Source organism: Homo sapiens, chromosome 2, assembly GCF_000001405.40.
Source record: "Homo sapiens chromosome 2, GRCh38.p14 Primary Assembly".
Classification (NCBI taxonomy): Eukaryota; Metazoa; Chordata; class Mammalia; order Primates; family Hominidae; genus Homo; species Homo sapiens.
This window is the reverse complement of record NC_000002.12, coordinates 10,121,416-10,139,186: the sequence shown is the minus strand read 5'-3', so window position 1 is coordinate 10,139,186 and position 17,771 is coordinate 10,121,416. Positions and strand designations below refer to the sequence as shown.

General features: G+C 47.8%; 1 protein-coding gene across 3 annotated transcripts in view, besides 6 other annotated features; it reads right to left on the bottom strand.

Moving 5' to 3' along the window:
- The window catches only part of RRM2 (ribonucleotide reductase regulatory subunit M2), an 88,443-nt gene extending 71,824 nt beyond the window's left edge, over nucleotides 1-16,619 (bottom strand). The window contains exons 1-10 of one of the 3 annotated variants that reach the window (NM_001165931.1): nucleotides 16,290-16,619; nucleotides 16,130-16,204; nucleotides 15,657-15,800; nucleotides 15,335-15,451; nucleotides 14,337-14,470; nucleotides 12,218-12,312; nucleotides 11,967-12,100; nucleotides 10,235-10,339; nucleotides 10,033-10,146; nucleotides 7,768-9,953 (exon numbers count right to left, since the gene is read on the bottom strand). In NM_001165931.1, coding sequence (NP_001159403.1) covers nucleotides 9,801-9,953; nucleotides 10,033-10,146; nucleotides 10,235-10,339; nucleotides 11,967-12,100; nucleotides 12,218-12,312; nucleotides 14,337-14,470; nucleotides 15,335-15,451; nucleotides 15,657-15,800; nucleotides 16,130-16,204; nucleotides 16,290-16,568 — 1,350 coding nt within the window. In that variant the 5' untranslated portion in view covers nucleotides 16,569-16,619 and the 3' untranslated portion in view covers nucleotides 7,768-9,800. Of the gene's footprint in view, nucleotides 1-7,767; nucleotides 9,954-10,032; nucleotides 10,147-10,234; nucleotides 10,340-11,966; nucleotides 12,101-12,217; nucleotides 12,313-14,336; nucleotides 14,471-15,334; nucleotides 15,452-15,656; nucleotides 15,801-16,129; nucleotides 16,205-16,289 lie in introns of those variants that run through there. The other 2 variants (NM_001034.4, NR_164157.1) reach the window with 2 other exon arrangements.
- Nucleotides 5,523-6,186: an enhancer, noted in NCBI's record as "OCT4-H3K4me1 hESC enhancer chr2:10273128-10273791 (GRCh37/hg19 assembly coordinates)". NCBI's record gives its function as "activates a minimal SCP1, AML or CMV promoter by ChIP-STARR-seq in primed H9 embryonic stem cells {active_cell/tissue: H9 hESC(primed)}" and the evidence as "EXISTENCE:reporter gene assay evidence [ECO:0000049][PMID:30033119]".
- Nucleotides 16,394-16,993: a silencer, noted in NCBI's record as "silent region_11158". NCBI's record gives its function as "represses an Ori minimal core promoter by ATAC-STARR-seq in GM12878 lymphoblastoid cells {active_cell/tissue: GM12878}" and the evidence as "EXISTENCE:reporter gene assay evidence [ECO:0000049][PMID:35858748]".
- Nucleotides 16,487-16,987: a silencer, noted in NCBI's record as "fragment chr2:10262327-10262827 (GRCh37/hg19 assembly coordinates)". NCBI's record gives its function as "represses an EF-1alpha promoter that drives an FKBP-Casp9 reporter gene in an ReSE screen in K562 erythroleukemia cells {active_cell/tissue: K562}" and the evidence as "EXISTENCE:reporter gene assay evidence [ECO:0000049][PMID:32094911]".
- Nucleotides 17,171-17,726: an enhancer, noted in NCBI's record as "H3K27ac hESC enhancer chr2:10261588-10262143 (GRCh37/hg19 assembly coordinates)". NCBI's record gives its function as "activates a minimal SCP1, AML or CMV promoter by ChIP-STARR-seq in naive H9 embryonic stem cells {active_cell/tissue: H9 hESC(naive)}" and the evidence as "EXISTENCE:reporter gene assay evidence [ECO:0000049][PMID:30033119]".
- Nucleotides 17,214-17,323: an enhancer, noted in NCBI's record as "active region_15299". NCBI's record gives its function as "activates an Ori minimal core promoter by ATAC-STARR-seq in GM12878 lymphoblastoid cells {active_cell/tissue: GM12878}" and the evidence as "EXISTENCE:reporter gene assay evidence [ECO:0000049][PMID:35858748]".
- Nucleotides 17,344-17,413: an enhancer, noted in NCBI's record as "active region_15298". NCBI's record gives its function as "activates an Ori minimal core promoter by ATAC-STARR-seq in GM12878 lymphoblastoid cells {active_cell/tissue: GM12878}" and the evidence as "EXISTENCE:reporter gene assay evidence [ECO:0000049][PMID:35858748]".

Here is a 17,771-nt window from a genome sequence, read left to right as displayed (position 1 = left end):
GGGCAAGATGTTCAACTGTGGAGATGACTGCCCATACCTGTGGATATACTAGACCACTGAACCACACCCTTTATTTTTTTTGAGTCAGTCTCACTCTGTCACCCAGGCTGGAGTGCAATGGCGCAACCTCTACTCACTACAACCGCCACCTCCCGGGCTCAAGCAATTCTCCTGCCTCAGTCTCCCAAGTAGCTGGGATTACAGGCACCCATCACCACGTCCGGCTAATTTTTGTATTCTTAGTAGAGATGGGGTTTCACCATGTTGGCCAGGCTGGTCTCAAACTCCTGACCTCAAATGATCCGCCCACCTTGGCCTCCCAAAGTGTTGGGATTACAGGCGTGAGCCACCACGCCTGGCCAAGAGCCATACCCTTTAGATGGGCAAACTGAATGGCACGTGAAAAAGTTGCTTATGAAAGCACTTCACTCATCTAAATTCTCACAAGCCTGTTGGGCCTGGATTACAAATCCTAGTTCACGATGTGGAAACTGAGGCTGAGAGCAGTGATGTGATGTCCCCAACCGTTTCATAAGCAGTGAGAACTGGCTCCAAGAGCAGTCAGTTTTTCAAAAGGGAGGTGAAAGGCCGGGTGCAGTGGCTCACACCTGTAATCCCAACACGGGGAGGCCAATATGGGCAGATCACTTGAGGTCAGGAGTTCGAGACCAGCCCAACCAACATGGTGAAACCCAGTCTCTACTAAAAAATACAAAAATTGGCCAGGCACAGTGGCTAATGGTTGTAATCCCAGCACTTTGGGAGGCCAAGGCAGGCGGATCACCTGAGGTCAGGAGTTCGAGACCAGCCTGACCAACATGCAGAAACCCCGTCTCTACTAAAAATACAAAATTAACAGGGCATGGTGGCATGTGCCCGTAATCCCAGCTACTCAGGAGGCTGAGGCAGGAGAATCACTTGAACCCGGGAGGCAGAGATTGTGGTGAGCTGAGATTGCGCCATTGCACTCCAACCTGGGCAACAAGGGAGAAACTCCATCTCAAAAAAAAAAAAAAAAATTAGCCGGGCATGATGGCAGGAGCCTGTAATTCCAGCTGCTCAGGAGGCTGAGGCATGAAAATCACTTGAACCTGGGAGGCAGAGGTTGCAGTGAGCCGAGATCACGTCACTGCACTCCAGCCTGGGGGTCGCAGCAAGACTCCATCTCAAAAACAAAACAAAACAAAGAGGGAGCCTAAAGTCAGCCCTTTGCTGCAGCGGCCCCTGCACTAACAGGACCTGGAAGTGCCCTTCAGTAACATTGGGACCCACATCAGTCCAGAGGAAGGCCAGAGCAGCTGCAGGACCTGTTCCCAGCCTTCCAAAGCAAATTCCTTCCCATCTCGTCCTGGCACCCCTTCTGGAGGAGAGGCTAGACCCCCCTGAAGTAGAGGAGAGGGAAGACTCAGAGGCTCAGGGAAGACCTCACCCAGGCAGCTGCTGCCCCAGGGCTTTCTGGAAACTGAAATCTCCCCGTTTTCCACCTCCAAGGGAAGCTACTGCTTCCCACTCACCCCATTCCTAAGCGTGAGGCTCCATTTGGGCATGTGAGTACCTGTCCCTAGACTTTGTGGCCATAAGCTACCTTTCTAGCATAGTACCCAGAGCGTCCCAGGTAGAAGCAAACTGAAAGTGGCCCCCACTAGTGAAGTGCAGACAGTAAGAGAGCCCCTGGTCCTATATGGACAGGATCCCACCCTTTGCCCCAGGTGACAAGGGGCAAAGCAGAGGTCACCCTCCCCCACTACCACAGTGTAATGACCAGGGAGGAAGGGCAGGACGAGTGTAGGCATGACCAAACCCTTCCATATGACTCACTGGCCAGCTGGTGGTTTTAGGAGCCATTCCTTGGGCGGACCAGCATGGGGCTGGCAGGTGCCTGCTCTCCCATCAAGAGGGGCACATGCAGTGAGGGGACGAATGTAGACAGGTGCAAGTTCTGGTCACCCACTGGTCTTTGTGCAGACCAGTCCTCTGTGAGGCACATGGCCTCCCTGAGCCTCCCGGCCATATCTGTAAAATGGGGGCAATCATCTCTGCCCCACGGTGGCTGTGCAGATCAAGTGAATTCTGTTGGGGTGGAACTGACTGCACGTGGCAGGAAAATCAACCTTATCCTATCAGGAATGTATTGATTTACTTCTGTGAAACATCTGGGATGTGGACTTCAGAATTCACTGGACTCAGAAAATGAATATGATGAGGCTTCAGCCTCTCTGTAGATCAGCTCTCCTTTCCTCAGTCAGGGCCTCACTCTTGGACAGGTCTACCCTCATGGGTTCAACAGCCCCAACCTTTGGCCTCCCTTCTACCCACCCCTCACCCCCAAAGTAAAAGCCTTAAAGTGTGGCTCATGGGGTCCTGGTTGCATGGAGACTAGACTCCCAGGGGCTATGGCCAGGGTATTTGTTTTTAAGAGTGGGTCTTGCTCTGTTGCCCAGGCTAGAGTGCAGTGGTGCAAGCATGGCTCACTGCAGCCTCAACCTCCTGGGTTCCAGTGATCCTTCTGCCTCAGCCTCTTGAGTAGCCGGGACTACAGATGCATGCCACCACACATGGCTAATTTTTAAAAATTTTTCTATAGAGATAGGGTCTCCTTATATTGCCTAGGCTGGTCTTGAAATCCTGGCCTCAAGCCAGGGATTCCCCCCTTGGCCTCCCAGTGTTGACATTGCAGGCACTAGCCACCCGCACCTCTGATAAAGGGCAACAGGGGGTCAAGCAGTGGCCTCTAGATGACAGCGTGCCTTTTCAAGGCCACACCCACACCCAACACAGATTCCATCTTGCCAAAGCTTGGAAGGACAGCACCCTGCACAGTGGAGGCCCACCCACACCCAGGAAGGCTCAGCCTGCCCCAGACTAGGAGGCCCCAGCATCTCCATCGCAGCACATGCTGCAAACCTGTCTTGTCTTTTCACCTGGTATCATCTGGGCCTCAACCCCTCTGCCCTTTATTGAGATTCCAGTGTGGCCACGTTGCATAATCCAAACCATTCACTTGTGAGCAGTCATTTGACCACACCCTACCCCATCCAGGCTTGCCCCAGCCCCGCACTTTGGTGGTGCTGCCCGGACACAGGAAGATGGAACATCTTCTCACATCCGGTAGGAATGTGAGCTCTCAAGCAATTGCCAGTAGAGCCATGGAGATTCTCTGCAATTGGCATAAAAGCAAACCTAGGGACTGTGTGTAGGGCCAGAGGACAATGAATAAAAAAAAAACACATGACTAAGAGAATATGGCAGCACCAAGACAATAACCCGCTTCATCACTCTGAGCCTGAGCCCAGGACTCATCAGTCCCTGGGGAGGCAGGGATGAAGTCACACCCAAACACTGCAGAGACCATGTTGCTTGGTGCAGTTATCACCATCGTGTTTTCCCAGAGGAACAATCATTCTTTAGGCCAATAACTTCTATCTCTAATGGGCTTTTTGCTTTAAAGTCTTTTTCCTATAGTAATTGTTTACACTCTTAAGTGTTTAGTTTGGCAATCATTTATAGCTAGAATTTGAGCCTTAAGAGTTTTAACTCTTAAGTTTATTTACATCTACTGTGCTTTTATTTCTACCATCCTATTTTGTGCTTTCCATTGACTTGTTCTCTGCTGCATCTCGACCCTTTCCACCTTCTAAGCCCGTCAAGCTTTAACTCCTCTGCAACACATCCCACACCCGCACGCATGCCCCTCCCCTCCCCCACCAGGGCCCCTACTTTGGAAGTTGAAGTTAAATCTTCTGGTGCTATGCCTCCAGTGGTCATCCTTAAACTTTAAACCATATACCTCCAAGGCCTAATAGTATAAAGACCTTGGTATTCTTTATCCCTCTGCAGCGTCCATTATTCTAGTTCCATTTGTTGTTTGAGTTCGGTCTCACTGTTGCTCAGGCTGGACTCAAGTGATCCTCCCACCTCAGCCTCGTGAGTAGCTGGGATCACAGGCATGCACCATGATGCCCAGCTTCCTTTTGATTCTATTGATTCACTGTGGACCAACCAATTTCTCTGCTCATCACCATCCTCTTTTGGCTCAATTCGCTAGGAATTATTTTGGCTTGGGGATGTGAATGGTAAAACCTTGGCATGAAAATGTATCTTCTTTCTGAATAATAATTTTGTCCAATGATTCCCTCAGCATTGAAGATATGATTTCATAATCTTTTGGCTTACGTTGAAACATTCGTTTAATGATTGTTCTTTTTGTTCATGTTCTGCAGCTTCATTCAAATGAGACTAGGAATGAATGTTTGCTTCTCATGTGTGATTCCTTGGGGACTTCCTGATCTCAAGGATGAGTCCATTCTGGAAAGTCACCAGTCTTTACCTCCTCAAACACTGCCTGTCCACTCTCTCCATGCTTTCTTTCATCTTCTTTAGAATAATTCCCTTAGATACATCCCTTCCAACTCACAAGTCCACTCTTCAGCTATGTCTAATCTTACTAAGCTGTGTTGAAATAGCTCTAAGAGCCTGAACTCTAGTAGTTATGCTGTATCCCATTCTACCTGATTCCGAAAATCTATTTCTTCACCATACCGTGTTTTTTCCTTTTATCTGTTGTGTTGTCTGAGTTTCTAATTAAGAAGTGTGAACCCCACCTGTGGGAATCCTGTGCAACCAGGCTAGGGATCAATACTGGGGATTAATTTATCTTTGAGTAGTTCCTAGACCACAAATTTATGTGAAGGTTTTTAAGAATCCAGAAGGATTAAAACCCTTATCTTCCCCACTGTGCCAATGGGATTTTTGTCTAGTTCCCGTGTCACTGGGGCCCCTAGCTTTATGCCACGGTTTTGGTCCCAACTCCTCCCCTGGTTTAGATTAACCTCTCCCTCCAAATCCAATTGCACGTCAGCCCCTGCCCATTTAATTTCTCTAAGGGACTAACAACCACTCGGAGAGCTGCTACAAGTTCCGGGGCCTCCATGGTCACTTTCTTTGTTCCCAAAAGAGGTCATTCTCCTTTCCCAGGAGGTGATCATCTATTTAACTTTTTTTTTTTTTTTTTTTTTTGAGATGGAGTTTCACTCTTGTCGCCCAGGCTGGAGTGCAATCTCAGCTCACTACAACCTCTGCCTCCCAGGTTCAAGTGATTCTCCTGCCTCAGCCTCCGGAGTAATGGGATTACAGACATGGGCCACCACACCCGGCTAAATTTTGTATTTTTAGTAGAGATGGGGTCTCACCATGTTGGCCAGGCTGGTCTCAAACTCCTGACCTCAGGTGATCCGCCCACCTCAGCCTCCCAAAGTGCTGGGATTACAGGCGCGAGCCACCATGCCCGGCCCACCTATTTAACTTTTTGCTGTGCTATTTATCATGGGCAGGTGTTTGAAGCAAGAGGAGTTCGGTTCCTTAGTCCACCACCTTGCTGGAGCCACTCCAGTCTCTAGAGCCAAGGCTAAGGTGAACATGACTACTGAACCTTAAGCAGCAATGGGTTCAGCTATTCTCATCATTAAAAAAAAAAAAAAAAAAAATCCTGATGTCATATTCCCTCCAGGGAATGGCAGGGAGACACCACTGATGTGTTCCCTTCTGTGTCCAGACAGACACCAGGAGGGTAGCCCCTCTATACTCAGGGACTGCTGGAAGAGGCCAGGCCACGCAGTCCAACTGCAGCCACTCACGGATGAGGGGCTGGGCCTGTGCCTGTCTTGCTAAGAGGAGTTAAACCATTATCAGGATCTCCAGACCGACACTGGCAGGGCCACTGATCCTCAAAATACAGCCAGTTAGCTCCCTGGCCAGGTGACAGAACACCCATCTGGTTCCTCCTTTGCATGACAAAGTCCTCAGGTCAGAGGCCACAGCAGTACCAGGTGAAGGGAGGTTTTGGTAGGTCTGCTTTTAGCAGCCAGGCCTGGCCACTGCAGCTGGGCAGGGCCCCGAATGTGCACACACAATGAAGTGTAACTCTTACACAGCATGTCTAGAACACACCAGAAAACACATCTGGAACATGCTGAAGCTCAGCAGGGCTGCCTTTTCCCCAAGTGAGATCCAGACTTTAGTAGCTTTTAAAAGCCCCCAGGTGATTATAATTCACACCCAGGACTGACGTCCACTGGTTTGAACTTTATGTCAGGAGTCTATCCCACCCGATCTCAAGTGTCTGAGATCTCCCATTAAGATTACAGGGTCCCTGGTTTACCCCCAGACTGATTCAGTAGGTCTGGGGGTGAGGCCGGGGAGGATGTATCTAATGAGTACCCAGGGCAATTGACTCAGCAGCCTGACCACTCAACTCTCTGCAGGCCCTCCTCGGGCAGCATGGGAGACATGTTCTATAGAGCATGGCAGCTGGCATGGGGCCGGGGGGAGCAGAACAGACTGCAGGCCACCCACAGGGAGGCTGTCCTAGTAGTTGGTCATCTTCTTGACGCCTGGCTGCCCCGAACTTGTGCAATAGGCCCAGCGCCAACCTGACATTACAAATCAAATGACCTTAACTGAACACTTTTAGGTGTAAAGGCAAAGCTCTCTACTAGGTTCCTCTGGGACACAGATCACACTTTTACCCAAGATACCATCCACCCCAAAATACTTCAGTTCCAATTAGTTTATTTCCCCATGTACCAGTCACTTAAATACCTGATCCTTGGAGGCCTTATGCTTATAAATATAAAGACAGATAAAAATCTGTGCCCTCAAAGACAACTTTCTCTTACAGAGCAGCACGGGAAGAAATCTTCATGAGAACACAGGAGTCGGAAGCAGCACAACCTCAGACACTAGTCCCAGTCCCCTCCACTAAGGAAACATCATCTCCCCCCATGAGACCTCTCCCAATCACTCCCATCCACCTTAGAATTCTCTGCTGCCCCCACCACTGCCCAACAATTCAGATCTACTCATCTATCAGTTTTCCTCTCTAGGAGTAAACCCAAGCTCCAGAGGGAGGGGCCTCCCCTCTGGCTTAGCGCCCCATCTTCCTGAATTAAAATGCAGGTAGAAAACGTCACCTGACAAGAGAGCTGCTGTTTGTTCAATGAACTGAATGGCAGTGGCGTGAGGTACAAGGAATGATTGGTTCGTTTGGGGATGGGTGTCATGAATTCTAAAAGGCTTTATCAAAGTGGGTGGGATTCCGAGTCAGGAAAGGGCCTTTATAGACACAGGGACCAATCCAAACCTGTGCTGGAGTCCACACAGGTCAGATGTGGGACAGCAGAGCAAAACTCCAGCTGGGAAGACCTCTAGCCCCACCTGTTTTGCAAACGGGAAAAGAGCCCCAGGAGTGGCTCCCCCACGGTTGAGAAGTTAACTCAGCCCCGGCTTCACAAACCCCACGTGCAGTATGGCAGTTAGTATTTTTGGGCACCACCTTTCGGGTGTACCTGTCTCCTATACACCTTGTGCCAATAGGCACAAGGCAAGTCTCTTGCCCAGAACCAGTGGAAAGCAAATGAATTCGTTAGCCTTTACAAAAAACACCTTTTTTTTTCAGACAGTCTCACTCTGCTGCCCAGGCTGGAGTGCAGCGGTGCAATCTCAGCTCACTGCAACCTCTGCCTCCCGGGTTCAAGTGATTCTCCTGCCTCAGCCTCACGAGTAGCTGGGATTACAGGCGTGTGCCACCATGCCAGGCTAATTTTTGTATTTTTAGTAGAGATGGGGTGTCACCATGTTGGCCAGGCTGATCTCGAACTCCTGAGCTCAGGTGATCTGCCTACCTTGGTCTCCCAAAGTGCTGGGATTACAGCCATGCCTGGCCAAAAAATATTTCTCTTCCTGAATTAAAATGCAAATTTTACCAATCAAGAAACTGACATAAGAACAGTTTTATTTTAATCACTTAAGACTTGTGCATTATTCAATTTTGAGACTGAAATACTTGTTTCCCTTTCAACTGATTAGGAAATGGTCTGAGCTGGCAGAAGTTAATCCTCACATTATTCAGCTAATGAGAGACAGAATCCTAAAACCTGATTCCAACTTCCGCCTGTACCTCACAATGCAAGACAAAGCCTTTCATTTTAATGTTGTACACATATAAGGACCATATAATCTGGATTAACTTTAGGTAACAATAACTTAAAAGATAGGAAAATGTATCATATTACAGAGATTTAAAAATTGTCTATACAATAAATGATGAAGAAAACTAACAATAAACAGGACGACGTTCAAATACTGAATACAATTAACAAATGGGGCCAAAAGATCAACATTTATCTCTCATCATCTTTCATGCAATGTCTCAGCTTTCTTCTCCCAAACATAAAGGCAGATTAATTCAAAGTAGCCCTATTAAGAATATTTGTTTATCACGCCTGCAATCCCAGCACTTTGGGAGGCCGAGGTGGGTGGATCACCTGAGGTCAGGAGTTCAAGACCAGCCTGACCAATATGGTGAAACTCCATCTCTACTAAAAATACAAAAATTAGCCAGGTGTGGTAGCACATACCTGCAGTCCCAGCTACTAGGGAGGCTGAGACAGGAGAATTGCTTGAACCCAGGAGATGGAGGTTACAGTGAGCCAAAATCGCGCCACTGCACTCCAGCCTGGGCAACAGAGCGAGACTCCATCTCAAAAAAAAAAAAAAAAATTATGTTTCATTCTGAAATTAATATTTGAATGGAAACTGTATTAACAGCTCATGGTTTCCTACTAAAGTTTAAGATCCCCCTAGACAATGCTCAGATTTAGACAATGCCAGAATAAGACACTGGGTGACTGAAGTATGAACTACAGGTAAAATCTAGAAGAACATAGATAATAAAAAATTTCTGATTTAACAGACATAGTAAATATAAATGAATTAACTCACACAACCTACTTACACCAAACAAAACTAGAATGAACAACTTGTAGGAACCACCTCTAGTTGATTTCACCACTTAACAGGGGCAAGATCTTAGGTGGATCATTTTGTTTAAGGATGACTTGAAATTTTACAATACTACCTTAGCTCCCACATATGAAAACTCTTCAAGAATTTTTTCTCATCAACCAGACGTTGAGGAAAATACAGTGAGAAATAAAATGAAACGGCTTCTCACACATATGAAGGCCCAGATCACCCCTAAATTTCTAGTGATTTAACTTAAGAAGCTCCTTGCCCTGAGAGATTCCTTTATCCCACAACACTCTACTCAGAGGGGGCAGAGAATCCCAGGACACTACACAAGCCACAGGATAAAAACACAACCTGTCTTCTATCTGGCACCAACTGACTAATATCTAGGTATACACAGGACTGACTTTAAAGTTGGTTAACAAATATTTTAATTCATTAAAATAAAACTTAAAAATTACATGCTTAGTCTACACAAGTTTAACTTACTTTAGTCACTTAGTGAATTGTGAATTGGCTCCCATTAGTGGTCAGGAGAATGTATTTGGTGTAGAAACCAAATAAATCAAGCTATTATCGCCTTGTGAGTACAAACAATGTTTATTTGTTTGTAAAGTGCCAGGTTTATATTTAAGTAAACATTAAAATCTGCGTTGAAGCAGTGAGGCTGCATCTTTTAACTGGCTGTGCTGGTTAAAGGACTGTTTAATCCCGCTGTGCTAAGCTCACTAAAGGGTCACCCCTCACTTTAAAGCCAAGACTGCCATTGTCACTGCTATGGTAAGTCACAGCCAGCCAGGCCTTCTGGCAAAAGGTGATACTACCAGCACTATAAACAGACAGGACTGGTTGTGAGGTAGCTACACAGTTTTAAAGATGCTGTTAATGAACATTACGGACAATTCATGGTGTGGCTAGTTGGTAACACTTCAGCTGATTTTTCTTATGAGATGGAAAAAAAAAATCAGCCAAGTAAGGGCACATCTTCAGTTCATTTAGAAGTCAGCATCCAAGGTAAAAGAATTCTCTGTTGGACTTGACATCACTCCCATCCTCTGATACTCGCCTACTCTCTTCTCAAAGAAGTTAGTCTTTCCTTCCAGTGAAATATTCTCCATAAAGTCAAATGGGTTCTCTACTCTGAAAACCTGAAAAGGTTCACATCAAGATATAAATACAGAGCACCAGCTTCAAAACAAGCAAAAGGCTATGTAAACAATACTTTACCTTGCTAAAACCCAGTTCCAGCATAAGTCTGTCTGCCACAAACTCAATGTATTGCTTCATTAGAGTGCAATTCATCCCAATGAGCTTCACAGGCAAGGCCTCAGTGAGGAACTCCTAGGAACCAAAATACAGCTTCTGAATACAACTAAAGCACAGGCATTTTCTAGCAAGCTTGAGTGACCCATTTCATCACCCACTTTACCTGTTCTATCCGAACAGCATTGATAATTATTTCTCTTACTCTCTCCTCCGATGGTTTGTGTACCAGGTGTTTGAACATCAGGCAAGCAAAATCACAGTGTAAACCCTAGAAAAAAAAGTTCAAGATCACTAAAGCCAGAAGACTTCTGTCATTAACATGGAATATGAAATTACTTTGTCCTTTTCTGCATTCTCCTTATCCAACATGCTCAGCCATACTGAGAGCACTTGAACTCTCAAAGGGAAGATGACTTCAACTACTGACTTCTCTGCTGATGTCACTACCAAGGCAAGCTCAGTCCCATTCAAGACCCTCAAAGTTGCCACCTAGATGAAGACAGGCAAGGTGTATTTCTTGCTCTGCTGTGTGTTGGCAAAGGAGGAGTCAGAGCTTCACTCAGTGATCTTTCTACAGCCATGAGTGCTAATTTTGCCACTACTCCCAGCAGGAAAGGCAAAGCTCAGTAATAAGGCTAGTTTTTAGATGCTCAGGAAATTTGTATGCAATTTCAAGTAAATCAAGTTTGCAAGTTACTGCATTAAACATCAAGCTTCACAGCTTATCTCCCAATCCAGTAAGGAAGGCCCTCCTACAAGGTAACCATATTTGATTTGCCCACTGGGCTCCAAGTAAGATGGAGTTCATGCTCCTGGCTTTTCAAATGTGACTTAATCAAAGACATACACTAGACCAAAATGTATACTCATTTCATTGAAATGCTTATTAATATTGAAGTAGAGGGGCAATTTCTAGATCAAACAGGAGAAACATAATGGCTACTATGAACATTCTTTTTCGGGGGGACTGTCACCCAGGCTGGAGTGCAGTGGTGTGATCTTGACTCACTGCAACCTCCACCTCCCAGGTTCAGGCGATTCTCCTACCTCAGCCTCTCAAGTAGCTGGGACAATAGGCACGTCCACCATACCCGGCTAATTTTTTGTATTTTTAGTAGAGATGGGGTTTCACCGTGTTAGCCAGGATGGTCTCAATCTCCTGACCTCATGATCCACCCGCCTCGGCCTACCAAAGTGCTGGGATTACAGGCATGAGCCACCGCTCCTGGCTCTACTATGAACATTTTTACGGAAAAAGGGATAACATATTAATACCAGGCAAAAATAATAAAACATCCCTTAAAATCCCAATCCCATCAATAACTTGTAGTTTTGGCTGGGCATGGTGGCTCATGCCTATAATCCCAGCACTCTGGGAGGCCGAGGCGGGTGGATCACCTGATCACCTGAGGTCAGGAGTTCAACCCCAGTCTGGCAAACATGGTGAAACCCCGTCTGTATAAAAAGACGAAAATTAGCTGGGCATGGTGGCAGGCACCTACAATCCCAGCTACTTGGGAGGCTGAGGCGGGAGAATCACTTGAACCTAGGAGGCAGAGGTTGCAGTGAGCCAAGATCACGCCATTGCACTCCAGCCTGGAACGACAGAGCAAGATTCCGTCACCTCAAAAAACAAAGAACTTGTAGTTTTATGCATTCAAAGCCTATAGGGGAATACATATGTACAAATGTATTACAATATATTGAGAATGCAAGTAAAACAGTTTCAGTAAATGAAAGTATTTCCTTCTTTTGTCAAGTATGTGTATGGTTGAACTCACACATTAAATGTGGATATATGCCATCTAGCATCTCAGGTCCCCGTCAGTGAACACAAGAGCATGCCCGAGTTGTGTTTGGGGTTTAGGTCACCCTATTATTTGACTTAGACTCACCTCATCTCTGCTAATAAGTTCATTAGAAAATGTGAGGCCAGGCATCAGTCCTCGTTTCTTGAGCCAGAATATCGACGCAAAAGAACCGGAAAAGAAAATGCCTTCCACTGCAGCAAAGGCTACAACACGTTCACCTATTTAGGAGTTAACACCAACATGATTCTAGTGAGTTGGTATTCAAGGGCCAAAAATCCAGTAACATTACTTGGAAAATGAAGCTCAGGTTTAAGTAGGGGCAAGGGTCTCCTTACCATAGGTAGCCTCTTTGTCCCCAATCCAGCGCAAGGCCCAGTCTGCCTTCTTCTTGACACAAGGCATCGTTTCAATGGCATTGAAGAGAAATTCCCTAGTAGGCACATACGGTATCAGCAATTGAAGCATTACAGTAAAAGACCTCCGATTACCAACTGCTAGATAAGAGCTCTGGGACAAAGGCCAAATTCAAGTATTTGCCAATCCTCTTCCTAAAGGAAGAACTCACACCGAAATGTTTTATTTTTACTGGTCAGTTTTTCCCTCCAGTGTTCTTTTAAAAACCTCAACACTTGATTTACATTAATACAAGTTTGGGTATTCTGTAGTTCATATTGAGCTTCAGGGTCTACAGACAGTAAAACATAGTCCAGTACAGCAGGGACATTTGTTGCCTTTAAAATTATTTCAAGTCCAGATCATTGTTCAATTTGAAGAATCATAGAATTTAAATTTGAAGAACCATAAAATCCTAACTGCTGTGCTATTATCAGACTATGATTAGGTGCATTATTTGGCCTCAGTTGCCACACCTATATCATAAAATAATTAAACCAATAAACTAAGATTGCTTCCTACTAGGACTCTGTGCTACACTGTCGATCCCAGGTCAGGAAAGCAAATCCATGGGTACTACAGTTAACTGGATCTCCCTTACCACCCTCCTCTGCCTCCCTTTATTCTGGTGCCCACCTTGAGAGGCTACTCATTTCCCAGACTGTTCCTACCCAGATGACTTTGTGTTCTGAAGCCAAGGGCACCAGACATTGGGCAGCTTTTTTTTTTTTTTTTTTTTTTTTTTTTTTAAAGAGATGAGGGTCTCACTCTGTTGCCCAGGCTAGAGTGCAGCGAGATGATCACAGCTCACGGTAAAACCAAACTCCAGGGCTCAAGCCATCCTTCTGCCTCAGCCTGCCAAGTAGCTGGGACTACTAGCTCAGACTACCATGCCCAGCTGTCGTTCATTCTTTCCATCTCACTGTCCCTCTCTCTGAGACCTGGGTCTGCCTCTCCCTTGTTTTTGAGGCTTCCCCAGCAGACCTTCCTGTTCCCCTTCTGGGCATTTGCCCCCGATCGTACCCCTAATCTTTGCCTTCTTTTCTCAATTTCCACCTATAAACATGTTCAAATCTCTTTACTCCCAATGTTTCCTCAGTCCTTTCAAGTTACCACTTTTCCTCTTCATGTACTTCAAAGTCTACAACGGCTACTTTAGGTTGCAGCTTCACCACTTCCACTCCATACAAGGTTCTGGTCCCCAAAGCTGACCTTTGTTTTTTTTGCTTGGTTTTGCTTTTTGAGACGGAGTCTTGCTCTGTCACCCAGGCTGGAGCGCAAGCTCCGCCTCCCGGGTTCACGCCATTCTCCTGTCTCAGCCTCCCAAGCAGCTGGGACTACAGGCGCCCGCCACCACTTTTTTTATTTTTAGTAGAGACGGGGTTTCACCGTGTTAGCCAGGATGGTCTCGATCTCCTGACCTCATTGTCCGCCCGCTTCAGCCTCCCAAAGTGCTGGGATTACAGGCGAGAACCACCGCGCGCCACCCTAAAGCTGACCTTTGTATCTAGACTACTCCAGCAGCCCATTTCTAATCCCCCCACCTCCAATCTCCAAAACAAAACAGACCTTAAGCTACCTTTATTCAGCCAAACTCCTGCATGCCTAAATCAGTCTCAGGGTTCACTGCTGCCTCTGCCTTATGTAACTCCTACTAAGTCTTATTTGCCTATACTATACTGCAGGCTTCTTAGGAGGCAAGTCCTCCCCGTCCATCCCACTGCAGCCCCACATTCTAGCTTCTCAACAACTTTACCAAATGAGCAAAGATGGTCAGACATAGGTTTTAGTTTGTCTTACCCAACATCTAGGAATTTTTTCAAAAGAAGGTTTTACATTGGTAGACATCCAACTTTAAAAGGAGTACCTTCACAACTCTAAGTGAATAATAAAGTGCATTTAGGCCCCTTGCTAAGAGCAGACATGACCACGGGTGCTGGGAATGCCTATGACTGTCTTAGTCATTCTGGAGTCATTTTTATCCCTAGGTGAACTAAAAATGTGTAATAAATCAACAATTAGTGAGTCCTAAAAATCTTGGCATACCACTTGAATACTCACCTTTCTTTGGGATCTTTTATGTAAGTGTCAATAAGAAGACTATACATTTCAGAATGTATGTTTTCCATGGCAATTTGGAAGCCATAGAAACAGCGGGCTTCTGTAATCTGAACTTCTTGGCTAAATCGCTCCACCTAGTGGCAAAACACATCAAAGTTAAGCTTGAGAAAAAACCAACAGCAGCAACTGTCAACGGATACTGGCAGCATCGCACTCTTTGTACCATTATAAGGTTTATTTCTATATATATTTCATCCAATTTGTCACAATTCTTTGATATTTTATGTCATATGCTCAACTTACATATCAGGAAATAGATACATATAAAATAGGATTTGTGAGCGCTCGATTTCCTAATTAATTTATGTCAAGAAAGATCCATTCGCAATAAGAGATACAACCAAATTATTATTAAAACAGCAAAGCCACAAAAAGGAGGGAGCAGAGCCGGGCGTGGTGGCTCACGCCTGTAATCCCAACACTTTGGGAGGCCAAGGTGGGTGGATCACCTGAGGTCAGCAGTTCGAGACCAGCCTGGCCAACATGGTAAAACCCTGTCTCTACTAAAAATACAGATATTAGCTAGGCATGGTGGCGCACGTCTGTAATCCCAGGTACTCATGAGGCTGAGGTTGGGGAATCGCTTGAACCCAGGAGGCGGAGGTTGCAGTGAGCCAAGATCACACCACTGCACTCCAGCCTGGGCCAGAGTGAGACTCTGTCTCAAAAAAAAAAAAAAAAAGAGGGGGCAGATGTGGTGGCCACAAAGAGTCATCACATTGCTACCACTTAATATTGTCTCAGCTTCTCTAGAGTCGGGAAAATACCATAAGAAAGAACTGCAAAGTGTTACAAAACAGGAAATGCCATGTAATATAAAACCCAGCTTACACACACAGATGCACTCAGCATGGAAAAACATACAAGACGAGGAAAGCGAACTAGTTCGACCTCAGATCGTCAACGTCAAATGAATGAAAGATGTTTTGGAAACTCACCAAGTTTTCATTTACTATGCCATCGCTTGCTGCAAAGAAAGCCAGAACATGGGATATAAAATATCTCTCCTCGGGTTTCAGGGATTCCCAGTGCTGAATGTCCTTGGAGAGGTCCACCTGAGGTTCGGAAGTCACAATTTTAGCATAAAAGGAAGAGAGTAAAGCCTACAGGACTCACACTGAGCACTCAAACTTTAAGTATGCTGGCACCACTTACTATGCCCCACAGTTAGCCCCCCTTGCCAACGGGAACCTCCAAGTGCATTTATGTCTGAGGCGTGACGGTCACCCCTGCAGGGGTCTTCTGGGGTCCTCCGATTACCTCCTCGGCGGTCCAAAAGGAAGCCTCTGCCTTCTTATACATCTGCCAGATATCATGGTACTCGATGGGGAAGATGACAAAGCGGCGGGGGTTTTCTCTCAGCAGCGGCTCATCCTCCACGCCGGGGGCAGCTGCTTTAGTTTTCTGTTGGGGGAGAAAATAAAACATTTAAGTACCGGGCGAACCATATGAAACTAACGTTTTTCTGGACCAAGTCCTTTCCATTGGCGGCAATTTCACGGGGCCCGATGTGAAAACGTGGCTGTCCCGTCGCACTCCGTGGGTCGCAGCAGAGGAGCGCACGCCCGAACCGGGAAATGGGCCGAGGGGCGCGGGAGGCAGCCCTGGGGAGGGGCCGCCTAGGCGGGAAAGGAGCCGGGGCGGGAGTGTGAACAGCTGAGGAAACAATGCGGCTTTGGCGCCAAGACGCCCAAGGCCGTCCCTGGCCCCTCTGCCCCACGCCCGCCACTCACCGGCTCCGTGGGCTCCTGGAAGATCCTCCTCGCGGTCTTGCTGGCCAGGACGCGGGTCCCGCTCAGGGCCGGCGGCTGCGGGGAGACGCGTGTGAGTGAGGAGCGGCTTCGCTTTCCCTGCCTCCCTCCCCTGCCCGCAGCGCCCTCCCCGCGGGCTCACCGTGTTCTCCTTGTCGACCAAGCTGAGCCCCTTCAGCGGCGAGAGCTGCAGCTGCTGCGGGTCCGTGATGGGCGCGAGCGGGACACGGAGGGAGAGCATAGTGGAGGCGCAGCGAAGCAGAGCGAGCAGCCAGGACAGGACGGCTGGGACAGGGTGCACGGGCGACCCCTCACTCCAGCAGCCTTTAAATCTCCCGCGCCGCGCGCTCCCGGCCCTTCCCATTGGCTTTGGTGCCCCGGCCCTTCCCATTGGCTGTGCCATGCCTCCGACCCTTCCCATTGGCTGCGCCTTGCCCCTACCCAGGCTGGCCGCGGGGCCGCGCGCGATTTTCAAGCGCAGCGCGGGAGCCTCCGCCGGCGCCTTCCGGAGACCCCCGGGGACACCCCCGTGGACGCCCCCCGGGACCTCCCGGTTCCCCCCCCGGCCCGTCCGCTGGCTGGGTCGGGGGCGCCGCCGCCCAGGCCCCCACAGGTCCCGCGGGACCAGGGCCGCAGCCCCTGAGGGTCTCGGCGGCCTTGGCGCGCGCGGGCCCCGGTTCGCCCGGGAACCGTTTAGGATTGCGTGAGGAGCAGCGATTGGAGCCCGCGGGCGCGAGAGGATCCCCGGGCCGCGGCCCCGCCTCCCGAAAGCACCTCCTCCCAGCCGGGCCGCCGCCGGGCAGGGGGCTTAGCCAACGAGGTTGGTGCAAAGGCCTGGAAAACGCTCCTGGGTGCGGGGGAGGCGTTGCTGCGACCCTTTCGATCCGTGTCCCTGCGGTGGGGGTGCAAGGGCCCCGAGGCCTGACATTTTGGCGGGGTGGTCGGCGAGGACCCTACAGCCTAAAAGTTAGGGCCGCTGAGCCCCGTGGCTCGTTTTGCTGGGACAAGCGACCAGGCTTCTTACAGATTCGGTGTCCCCGTGAGTAAAATGGGACTCGTAACCGCGTGGACTGTTAATGCGGTGAGGAGAGCGTTCGTTGAGATGACTCATGTAAAATGTGCAGTCCTTTGTAAACCTTCAAACTACGGGACATGGCGAGAAGGCCCTTGGTGCAGTTTTCCACAGAAATCCTGTCTCCTGTCAGACCCCTGACCCCTATTGTCACCCTTGCCTTAAGAATTGCAAACTGTGGCTGGGCGCGGTGGCTCACGCCTGTAATCCCAGCACTTTGGGAGGCCAAGGCAGGAGGATTGTTTGAGGCCAGGAGCTGGAGACCATCCTGGGCAACATAGTGAGACCCCGCCTCTGCCATTAAAAAGAGAAGAAAAAAAGTTGTTTTAATTGCAAACTGAGCAAAAATTCCTGGGAGAAAGTTCACAGAATGATTTTAGGACTAGGAATTAATGTACTACTCATTGGGCGTCAAATATGCTGAAGAGGAGTTTGAAAACTCCACTGGTGTAGAGACTGGAACTTAGCAATAGCTTTCATTTAATTTTCTATGTGGCTTTCTGATTTGCCAGGCCCTGCAACGGGCAAAATGCCAAAAATAAAGGAAGAGAA